We start from the raw sequence: 12,665 nt of genomic DNA, 5'->3' as shown, positions 1-12,665 counted from the left end.
TCTCTATTGTTTGGATATTTGAACGTCTTTGCTGTTAAGACTTCTGACTCTTACTGATATTACTTTTTCTTGTCTGGCAAACATAAGGTTTGAGGAAAGAGCGGGACAACCCAGACACCCAAGGAATAAGAAAGGGTTAGTTTTGATATCTAACTAGTAAAATTACATGATTTCTACCTATTGTGGCTTTTTTTGAGAAATACTTTTCATGAATCTTTTCTTTGCATTTTTTTTCTAAGCATGTCATACAAATCTTTTTTTCTTTCCTGTTTATATTTGGTTGTGCCATTCTATATAAGGAAAGCTCATTATATAGCCTAACCTATTTGAAAGTTTTTATCGGTTCTGATTCTCAGGAGAAAACTTGGGGTGATAAAACACTGCTAAACTATAATTAAATAGTTATGAAAGAATTTTTTTTTTTTACCTTTCCGAGGAAAATCTCAGTTTTTAGAAACATGAAATTTTCAGTTCACTAAACTCACATTGGTTTACCTGATCAAATTGAAACCTTTTGAGGTTCACAGTTTTTCTTGATGGCAATTTTACCTTCTGCTTATTTTTACATTGGATCTTGCTCTACCTGTTGTATCACTTTTCCTATAATCTAGTTCTAGAATTACTTTATTGCATGAAAGAAACATCTGTTTTATAAAATCTATGGTAGACAACAGTTCAGAGGCTTTAGGACCCAGTAAAAATGTGCTGTGTTAATCATCTAGCAGAACACGCTGGTGCCCATGGTTGAATGCAATTTGGAAATGTGGCTAATATGTACTGTTTTTTGATATCTAGTACTACTTATGTAAATTGGCAGTATAAATATATGTTTTAGAAAATAAACTAAATGAAATAGGGATTCAGCTCACAGCGGGAAAACCAATTTAGAGGCTTCATGCTAATTCTGAAAGAAGTAGCATATGCTGCTTAACGACTTGGATATTTAAAAGAAAATAAAAATTTAGACTTGGTGCAGTGGCTCACGCCTATAGGCCCAGCACTTTGGGAAGCCAATGCGAGTGGGTCACTTAGTTTGAGACCAGCCTGGTCAACAAGGCAAAACCTCGTCTCTACCAAAAAATACAAAAATTAGCCCCGCTTGGTGGCGCATGCCTGTGGTCCCAGCTACTCAGGAGGCTGAGATAGGAGGATCACTTGAACCTGGAAAGCAGAAGTTGTAGTGAGCTGAGATCGCACCATTGCATGACAGCCTGGGTGACAGAGTGAGACTGTCTCAAAAAAAAAAAAAAAAAAATGTAAATTGCTCCATTTTTAGGATTGTTCATATCAATCAGATGCACTGTGTACTGATATTTTTTAAAGCTTACTAACCTACAATTTAGCTTGATTTAATTTCTATTACTGGAAGTTTAAACAAAATATCATTGTAGCAAAGTCAGTGGTTTAGCACACCTGTAAATATGATGCCTTGGCAATTCTTCTTGCTAGTTTCAAAAATCAGCTGACATAAATCAGTGTGTACTTGGAAAAGAAAAAATAATATGACAGTTAAAATTCCTGTTCATACTGTCAGTTTTTTAAAAATTTGCTATTTAATGATAATATAATTTCTTAAAATTTCTAGTTATACTTCTCTATCTTTAAGTAAAATATTAATTAAAGTGTTCATGTACAAAATTTCTGTTTCCTACTTATACCTGCCAGGTACTCATTTTTTTATCTTTTAATAAGATGTTTTTGGATTTGATTTAATTTGATGCTTTAGTTATTTTTTAATATTTTATATTTTTATATTATGCTCATCTAAATACTTCATCTCTTGTGCATGTACTCAGTTTCTCTCAAACACATACTTGCTCTATATCTTAAAAAGCCAAGTTTAAAATTTATCTATGTGGTAAATATAATTCTTCAGATTCCAAGGTTTTCTGAGATTAATCTTTGTGTACATACATCTGCTTTAGTTACAGGAAACTGAATAATGGAATTGTTCTTTAAAGGCCTCTGTTACTGGATTTGGGCTTTCCTCTTTAGCTTAATGTTGAAAGTTCTAGCATTTAACCCCTCCTCTTCATCATGAATGAGTTTCCATAACTCCTGGAGTATGTATAGCTTCGTAATCCAGCTAGTTAGCCTATATTCTCAGACATGCCGTATGTATTTCTACCTCTAAGTTTTTTGCTATTATAGATCTCCCTTGGATGTTTTCCTCTATTTCTTGTTGACCATTCAATTTTTTTTTTTTTTTCGTAGCTCCTAACCCTTCAGGAACTATCCAAATTTCATCTTTCCTTTAAAGCTGACCCGAAGTTTTATCCCTTTTATTCCTTAACAGACTATTCTTTCAGTAGGGACACCTGACACTATTTTGTTGCCTCTTTCCCTCACACACACAATTCTGCATTTAAAGAGAATGTGTATTGTTGAAAGGATTTAAATGATTTCCAGCTAGGGTGTGTAAGGAAGAGCTGTATTGATAAATGTACACTTTGATTCATAGATATAGCAGGGGAAATGCATTATATGATACCTTTAATAAAGCCATGACTAGTGGCTGTGTAGATGTCTTTGAAGATATTTAAGTAGCTCTAATGTAATGCTATGTTGTTACCAACATGTTGGCATTTTGACTCTTTTTTTTACAAGGATATTTATTATGTTTTACTTATGCCAAAACTGACGTATAGTTCTAGAGGTTAGTAGTCTATATAGTCTAGAGGTTAGTAGCCTATATAGTCAGTCATTCTGTATAGTACACTATAGTCTATATAGTCTGTATAGACTAAAATATAGTCTATATTTTAGGAGTGTGGCAAGTCCAATAGCACTCTCACAAATTCTATGCTTGAATTTTGGGACTTATTTTTTTCTTAGTAATTGATTTACTGCACAGAGGATTAATATTTTAAAATGTATAATGAGTGATAGCAGTGTGTTTAGAATGCAAGGATATCTAAAAATGTAAAGGAACTACAGAAAAATTGCAAAATAGTGTAGAGCTCTAAATACCCTTTTTCAAACTTCTGCTAATGTTAACATCTTATAAATACAGTACACAACAATTGGCATAGTGCTACTGGTAATTTTCTTTTTTCTTTTTTTTTTTTTTGAGACGGAGTCTCACTCTGTCGCCTAGGCTATAGTGCAGTGCTGTGATCTTGGCTCACTGCAACCTCCACTTCCCGGGTTCAAGCGATTCTCCTGCCTCAGCCTCCTGAGTAGCTGGGATTACAGGCATGTGCCACCACTCCTGGATAATTTTTTTTTGTGTGTGTATTTTTAGTAGAGGCGGGGTTTCACCATATTGGCCAGGCTAGTCTCGAACTCCTGACCTTGTGATCCACCCACCCTGGCCTCCCAAAGTTCTGGGATTATAGGCATGAGCCACTGCGCCTGGCTTAGTACAATATTATTGACTAAACTACTGACCTTATCTGACTATTACTAGATTTTCTACTAGTGTGCTTTTTCTGGTTCAAGATCACATTTAATGTCTACAATACATTTAGTTTTCACGTCTCTGTAGCCTCTCCCAACTTGTGCTGATTCTTCAGCCATTCCTTGTTCCATGACCTTGACACTTTGAGAGATTACTGATCAGGTATTTTGGAGCATGTTCCTCAGTTTGGGTTTGTCTGATGTTTTTTCATGAGAGAGTGAGTTTATGCATTCTTGGAAAGAATATCACAGGTGTGATTTTTTATTTTTCATAGTGTAACAGGAGGTATATGATGTCAATATGTGTTATTACTGGTGCTGTTAACTTTGACATGTGGTTAAGATAGCGTCTCCCAGTTTTCTCCAATGGAGAGTTACCATGCTTCCCTTTGTAATTAGTAAGTATCTTGTGGGAAATATTTTGAGACTATGCAAATATCCTGTTTCTTATTAAACTTTTGCCAATGAATTTTTTATTCTCCATTGACATAATTATACCTCTTAAAATTATTTTTAGTAGTTATCCTAGGTTTCACAATATAATCAGACAGATTCTACAGTTAGGTAATAATACTGCTTCATTTAACAGCCCTATACGGCATTGTATTTCCAATTCTTCTCGCACTTTTTTGGTATTATTTTTGTCATGCAATTTACTTTTGCATATGCCAGGAACATAATATTTTGCTACTGTTTTTACTTCTGGTAGTCAGTTATCTGTTTGAGCAATTAAATGTGGGGGGAAAGTTAATTTAATTATCATTTGTTTTATTTCCATTGTTTTTTTTAAATTATTTTTTGGTATAAGTTTAAGTTTTTGTCTGGCATATTCTTTCTGGGTGAACTACTTTAGCATTTCTTGTAGAGTACATTTGTTGGCAATAAATTCTCAGTTTTTTGTTTGGGGAAGTTTTTATTTCTTCATTTTTGAAAGATGCTTTCACTGGATATGGAATTCTGTGTTGACAGCCTTTTTTAAGATGTTTCTTTGTGTTTGTTTTTCATAGTTTGAATATGATATGCCTAGAGGGGTGTGTGTGTGTGTGTGTATATGTGTGCATTTGTTTGTGTGTTTCTAAAGCCTTACAGCCTTGGGTGCTGTTGGTGCTCTTGGATCTGTGATTTTGAAATATTTTTCTTTTTTATTGAGGAGAAATTTATATAATATACAGTTAACCATTTTAAAACATACAATTCAGGGATATTTAGTGTATTCACAATGTTGTGAGCCCACCAGCTCCCTCTAGTTGGTTTTGAAAATTCATGATTAATTTTTTCTTTTCTTTCTCTCTCCTCTTTCTAAGATTCTGACTATGCATATATTAAATAGTTTGTTTTTTGTTCTACAGCTTTTGTTTGTTCTTTTCAGTGTGTTTCAGTTTGAGTAATTTCTGTAGCTCTAGTAATTTCTATAGATCTATCTTCAATTTCACTTATTCTTTCCTTGACTGTGTCAGTTCTACTGATGAGACTGTTGTGGACATTCTTCATCTCTGTTACTGTTTTTTTTTTTTTTTTAATTTCAGGCATAGTTTATCTTTTTTTGCTGTAATTACCCATCTGGCTTAGGTATTGTCTGTTTTTCTATTTGAGCCTTTAGCATATTAATCATAGTCATCTAAAATTTCCTGTTCTAACATCTGTGTCCTATCTCAGTCTGTTTTTTTTTAATTTCTAAAATCACGTTTATTATCAAAGCCAAAATTGCCCATATAATTAATACATTAGTCTTCAATTTTTATTTCTGCATGATTATGCAGTCTGAATGACTAACTCACAATCCCAGGTGGTATTACAAGTTTTGCTCTTCAGAATGGTGTTACTGTTGTAAGGGGAAAAGTCCTCACTGACAAAGAAATGAAAACAAAATCAAGAATGATCCGCTTGTATCACAGATTACAGAGAAGCTGTCAGTGAGCAGTTCCTCACCTCTTGCAGCAAAGGGGATCAAGGGCTAAAAATATCTCAGAAAAATCAAACAGCACCTGCAATACACTCTTATATATAAAAGGCCAAGCTTGTAAACTATTTCTTCTCATCCATGCTGCTCAAATATGAAGGGATTAAATATAAGGCTAATTCCTGGTGAATCTTCTCACTTCTTCCTCTTCTTTGTGTAATATAATTTTCCTTTAAGTGGGATTGGGACAATCCCTTCACATTCTTTTAGTTCCTGGGTCAGAGGGTGTTTGACAATATTCGGTCTAATCACATCTACGTTTGGAGAAGTGCTCCATCATGCTTTCAACAGTTGTGGTTGGTGCATAAAAATTCACCAGGAAATACCCGCCTCTGTTGTGCCACTGATTGTGGGTGGAGATCTTACAAGGAAGCGCTCACTCACCCAGGTTTTCCAAGTTCCTCACTATTGCTCCTTTTTCCATCAGAACCTCTATCGTATGTTTCAAAGCAGCAGCAGTCTGGCCGCGGCATGGCTTTCAGGATTAAAGCCAGCTTATAGCGGGGCATGCCTGGAGGCTCGATGCGTGCGGCTCGGAAGCGAGCTGGTTCCCAGGACGCGAAGGGGCGGGATGGCAGGGATGGCGGGGACCTGGAGGTGGCCGGGCCTGACGTCTCCTGGGCGGCAAAAGCATGCTTCAGCTGCATGAGCCTGGGCCCCCTCATGCATGAGTCTGTTTCTGATGACAGCTTGTCACTTGCAAATGTACTTTTTCTTTTCTTTTTTTTTTTTGTATGCATTGTAATTTTTATTGAAAGCTGTACATCGTATGTAGCATAGTATAGACAAAGGCAAATAGATTTTATGCCTGGAAACGAGTCTCCCTTTCTTTCCTTTTTCGTTTCTTTTCCTTTCTCACTTTTGTTCTTGTTGCCCAGGCTGGAATGCAGTAGTGGCACAATCTTGGCTCACTGCAACCTCCATCTCCTGGGTTCAAGTGATTCTCCTACCTCAGCCTCCTGAGTAGCTGGGATTACAGGCGTGCCCCACCACGCCCAGCTAATTTTTTGTATTTTTAGTAGAGACGGGGTTTCCTCATGTTGGCCAGGTTGTTCTCGAACTCCTGACCTCAGGTGATCCACCCGTCTTGACCTCCCAAAGTGCAGGGATTACAGGCATGAGCCACCACGCCTGGCCACGAGTCTTCCTTTATTTATGCTAAGAGTTTGAGTATAATTTTGAGTTAGGTTTCGTTTGAGGTTTATTTCTCCCAGGAAATTTCTCCCAAGAAATTGTCCCAAGGAAGGGCAAACTTAGAAGGGATTCACATATTGTTGAAGATGTAGTTCAGCCTACTGAATAGAAAAGATGCTTACTGGTTTGGCTACACCAGGCTAGGGCTGGTTCGTAGTCACTGGACAAGCAGTTAGCATCTTCTGTGCAGGTGGGGGAGCAAATCAGCAAGCAGAAGAGTGGGTACACAGTGGGCTTGCAAAGAGTGTGGGGTCCCTCTGTGCATGGACAGACTGTACATGGTGGTGGGCAATTTGCAGGAGCAGCAGCCTGGTGCGAACCCTCTAACCACAGGCAGGCTGTGTACAAGGTTTTACAGAGGAAGTCAGAGTCCTAGTGGGTGGACAGGAGGCCTTTGAACACTCGTTTGCATGTTGAGAAGGCCATGGAAAGGTTATTGGTAGGCTAAGACTGCAAGGTTGCAGAGAGAGAGTGTTCTGGACCCATGGCTGAGAATACTGGGTATCCTTACGCTCATATTGCTGGTTCCCAAGTTGCAGCCAGAAACTGCAGGCGTACATCTTCCTTCTGCAGTGTCCTTCCAGTGCCTTTTACAGAGAAAGGTTAATATCATGCTTACTTTAAAGGAGAGAGATATCTAAAGAGATTTTTCTTTTTTTTCTTAAATCACAGAACATAATTGAAGGATGCTTTTGGATCTGAGAGTCAATAAATTGATAACTGAGACAGATGGAGATATTGGATGACAGATAGTAAGCAGTCAGTGTTGACTTAAGTTAGCTGGAAGTCCCACCACATTTTACATTTCTGTACCTTTTATTTTATTAAACCTTTATTTTTCTTTTATTGAACCTTTATTTGGAATCGCTGTTCCTTGGTACTTAAAATCTTTTCTTCCACACAGCCTTTCAAACATTTATCTTGCTCAGGGCACCCTCTGCTATAATCTTGACCATAACTTTATGATTACCAATCACTGACAGCCCCTTTATAATCTTATTTTCAGGTACCTCTCTTTTCTCACACCATCTCATACCCATAACGTGACTTGGAAAATACTTGAAGCACAGTAGCATCTCTAATTTATTGATACTGCTACCTTCACATTATCTTCCAGATTCTTTGTATTCATTTTTCCCGAATCAGTTTCTTGGCTCCATCATTATGTTGACACTGCTGTGGGATGAAAACTCGAAGCCCAGGTCTTCAGACTCTAGATTCAGATTCCGGTATACTAGATATGACAAACAGTTTTAACACTTAAGCCAATTCTGTTCAGTTATATTTTGCTGTGCGCAAAGGCCATTGATAGTGTCTGCCTCAAGCAATATATTAAGTTTATGGAATTATGTACAGGTTTAGCAAGAAAAAGTGAATATCTAAGTATCTGCCACGTACACATATTTCTCCCTGTAGCCATGTTTGTTTCAAAGCATCTTAAAAATCAGTTGTGATTGACAGCCTGTAGAATGGGAGAAAATATCTGCAAACTATTCACCTGACGGGATTAAAAACCAGGCTATATAAGGAATTCAACTCAACTGCAGAAAAACAAATACTATGATTTAAAAAATGGGCAAATGATCTGAATAGACATTTCTCAAAAGATGACATACAGATGGTCAACAGGTACATGAAAAAATGCTAAGCATCACTAATCATCAGGGAAATGCTAACCAAAACCATAATGAGATATCATCTCACCCTGGTTAAAGTGGCTACTATAAAAAAGACAGAAAATGACAAATGCTGGTGGATGCAGAGAAAGGGGAACACTTGAACCCTGTTGGTGGGAATGTAAATTAGTACAGCCATTATGGAAAACAGTATGGAGGTTCCTCAAAAAATTAAAAGAGCTGCCATATACCCAGCAATTCTCACAGCTGGGTATATATTCAAAATATGGGAAATCAGTATTTTGAAGTGATATCTGCACCCCTATGCTTATTGCAGTACTGTTCACAGTAGCCAAGATATGGAATCAACCTAAGTGTTCATCAAAGGATGAATGAATTAAAGAAAATGCAATACACACACACACACAATGGAATATCATTCAGCCATAAAAAGAATGAAATCCTATTATTTACAGCAACATGGGTAGAACGGGAGGACATTATGTTAAATAAAACATCAGGCACAGAAAGACAAATATTGTATGTTCTTATATGTGAGAGCTTAAAAAGGTTGATCTCATTGAGGTAGTGAACAGAATGGTGGTAACCAGAGGCTGGAAGGGTGGTAGGGAGCGGGGGATGAAGAGAGGTTGGTTTATGTGTACAAAAGTAGATAGAAGGAATAAGTTCTGATGTTCTGTAGCACAATAGACTGACTATGATTAACAATAATTTATTGTATATTTTTAAATAGCTAGATTTGGAGTGTCCCCAACACAAATAAATGATAAATGTTTGAGGTGATGGTTATCCCAATTACCCAGATTTTATCATTGTACATTGTATGCTTGTATCAAAATATCCCATGTACTCCATAAATATATACGGCTATTATATATCCATAAAATGAAGAAAAAGAATTAGGTCGGAAACCATAGGCAAACCCTCTTATCACATATGTGACACACGGCCCTCAATATTAAAAAAATATCAGTTGTGATCACTAGTAGAATGTTGAAGTAGCAAATTTAGGTTTTGGTTTTAGACAAAGGTAATTGGCATTCGATAACATCTCTATTTCCATCACCTGCTGTGATATTTTATAAAGCTAGTAAATAATTCCAAAATGAATTTATCTCATTCTCTTATTATGAATGAATTCAAATATTATGTTGAGTCCCTTACTGTGTGCTAGCACTGTTTTAGGCACAGGGGATGTGGCAGTGAACAAGACAAAGAAAATCCACAGTCTTATTGGATTTTATATTTTTGAGTAGATGGGAGTCAGATAATCTGCAGAAGTAAATTTATAAATATACAGTGTAATTTTATAATATGATAAATGCCACGAAGAAAACCAAATAGAATAATAGAATAGCATGACTAAAGATATAGAGGGGGTTATTTTATATTGTAGAGTCAGGTAGGGTTATTTTATGGGGTAGCATTTTAGCTGAAATGTGAGAACGAGGAGCCAGCCAGGTGAAAACAGAAGGAAAAGCAAACACAAAGGCCCTGAGGTGAGAGCAAATGTGTTGGAAAAAGAGATAGAAATCTAATGTGGCTAGAATATAGTGAGCAAAGGAGTGTGCCTAGAGGAGAAGACCAAGCAGAGGTAGGGGTCTGGTTTTATAGGACTTTGTAGACAAGAATTTTGTGTGTGGCAAGAATATTTTAGTTTGATAATTCATAATCCAAAAATGATTTTTTCAGTAATGCATGTAGTATTAAAATATATGCTTAAGAATGATCTAAAATTATACTGGTTTGGATTACAAAATGGTTTTCTCTTAATATAGACCTCAAATGGCAAGCTAAAAGCTAATTATTGTTTCAAGGAAATAATTACCCAGACCCTTGACTCTTTTTCTTGGTATCTACCTACCTCCCTTACACCATTTGGGCTGCATCAACCTAGGAACTCAAAATCTAGAGTTTTTACATGAGAATGAAAGTATTGGTTTTAGTTAGTCAACATGAAAGGGTCAGTACTCCTAGTTAGTGAGGATCCAACACTCCTGCTTAGGGTAATGACTCTTAATATACTTACAGTATAACAGAGTCTTAAAGTTTTTGTTCAGTAAGGAGAAATAAAGTTCAGAATTCCAAGTAAGTTAGAAAGTATAATGAGGCCCTTGCATTCCTGGTCAGTCAGGAAGTGTAACAGAGTCCAAAACTCTTAGTTTGGAAATGTAATGATCCAGCATTCTTAGTCAGGAAGTATAACAGTCCAGCACTTAGGCAGCTATTGCTTAGCAACTGGTATGAAGGTTTATGGAAAGGAAACAAACTGATGGTTAAAGTGAAGTTTTGGAATCATTAATTTATTCAGGCCATGCTTTTAATTGATCTCCTTAAAATTTTATGCCCCATATGTGGGTTTTTCTTTTTACCTTAATAACTTAAAAAAAATTTTACTATCTGGCTTTTTATTTTTTACAATTATCTTCATTTCTTGCCATGTTAACAGATTGGCTACTTCAAAATGTTGTTTTTCAGATAACTTCATATCTTTCTTTTCTTTGCTAGTCAAAGGCCTAGGCCTTTATCTTCCTTTTTGCTACAACCCTAAAGGCAAAGAAAGAAAGGGAAAAAAAAGCTTGGTTTATCCTGTATTTCTTCTGAGTTTACTAATATTAATTATTTTTTCAATGTATTTTGTTTTAATGCATGAATATACATGGATATTATTGAAAAATTTAAAACTATATGGAAACACAAAGGAGAAAGTCACCATCTTACACTACAACTTTTGGCACTTTGGTATGTTTCCTTCTAGTCTTTTTTTTCTTCCTGGGATCTATATATAAGCATGTGTACATACATACCAATTTTTCTTAAACTCTTTTGGGTCACAAATATCTTAAAAATTTTGAAGCCTATAGATGAGAGAAAATACGTAAATGTTGAAGACAAAATTTTATATATATGTGTCAAGGGCATTTAGGAATCAGTCATCAGCAAGGATCTTTTTCATTCGTTATCATGTGCTGTTGTTGAAACTTCTTTTAAATCTTTTTCTTACTGCTGTAGTGGAGCCATTGCTGCGCCACATCTTTGGCCATAGTAGTGCTATAGTTGGGATGTAAGATTACTGTTACCACTCTTACAGTTTGTGTTCACTATTAACTATTTTTATCAAATAATAGCATTCATGTGTGAAGTGGCTGGGTCCTGATGGACTTCCAGACTCAGTAGTATGTGGCATCAGTACCAGTCTTAACTTCAGTAACCCATATGATCATTTTTTTCTTGACCGAGTGGTATTTCATTATAGGATATAATTTATTTAATTAATCATCTATTAATATAAATTTAGGCTCTGTAATTTTTCTTTACCATAAGTAAAACAATGATGTAATAAATACCCTTATATTTACTTGTCTGACAATTTTCTTGGGATAAATTCCTAAAAGTGAAATTGCTTAGTCAAATTTGATATCAATTGCCTGATTGGGCCTGAGAAGTATACCAATTTATAGATAACAGTGTGGTCTTTGCTAACACTAGGCATTATGGAATACTTTTATTAGTTATAGTGTTTATAAAGTGAAATACATAAATCTAAAGTATATAGTTAGATGTATTTTGACAGTTCTATATGTCTGTGTATTTAATACCTTTAGCAGTGTATAGAACATTTCCATTGTCACAGAAAGATTCCTTATAAATCTTCCTGTGTTCTTATTGGCCATCTATTTTTTTCCTTTGGTGAAGTATCTATTAAAATCTTTTGTGCATTATATTTGGATTTTCTTCTTATTATTGAGTTATAGAAGTTCTTTATATATTGTGGGTACTAGTCTTTTGTCACGTATTTGTAGAATAAACACATTTTTGGTATGTGGCCGGCCATTTCATTTTCTTAGTGGGGTCTTTTGACAGTCAAAGGTTTTAACTTGAATAAAATTCAATTTATGAATTATTTTATTGTTTATGCTTTCGTATCCTCTGTGGGAAATCCTTTCCTTAACCAAGGCCATAAAGATTTTTTCCTATGTTTTCTTCTAGAAATTTTACAGTTTTTAGCTTTTATGTTAAGGTATATGATACATTTTGAGGTAATTTTTGTGTATGGTGTGAGTGTAGGTTTGAAGTTTTTTTATTTTATTTTTTTCTGCCAAATGGATACTCACTTGTTTTAGCACCAGTTTTGAAAAGCTTATTCCTTCCTTATTAAATTGCCTTGTCCCTTATTGAACATCAGTTAGATTTACAGAGATATTATGCTATGGCTTTGAGGAATGGGTTTGTTCATAGTATTGAAGTATAAGCAGTCAGGATCTAGGCTTTGTATGTTTGGAAGTTGATTAAATTTGAAAAGCCTTAGCTTTTTGAAATTCTTTTTCTTTTATTCTTGTTCAAGTATCTTGGGATGGCTGTAGTAGAATGTGATTTGTAATGTATTTGTTTTCAGTGTGGCATGTCCAGATATTTTTCTTTCTTCTTTTTCAATTACTAGTTTTTGTCCAACTGTTTTCTGGTATTGAAGATTA

General features: G+C 35.5%; 1 protein-coding gene and 1 pseudogene across 4 annotated transcripts in view; one reads left to right on the top strand and one right to left on the bottom strand.

Moving 5' to 3' along the window:
• Positions 1 to 12,665, top strand: part of FAF1 (Fas associated factor 1) — a 523,240-nt gene that overhangs the window by 107,931 nt on the left and 402,644 nt on the right. The window lies entirely within an intron of this gene.
• MRPS6P2 (mitochondrial ribosomal protein S6 pseudogene 2) lies at positions 5,197 to 5,991 on the bottom strand (annotated as a pseudogene).

Source organism: Homo sapiens, chromosome 1 (assembly GCF_000001405.40).
Source record: "Homo sapiens chromosome 1, GRCh38.p14 Primary Assembly".
In the NCBI taxonomy this organism is placed as follows: Eukaryota; Metazoa; Chordata; class Mammalia; order Primates; family Hominidae; genus Homo; species Homo sapiens.
This window is presented reverse-complemented; position numbering and strand designations above follow the sequence as displayed.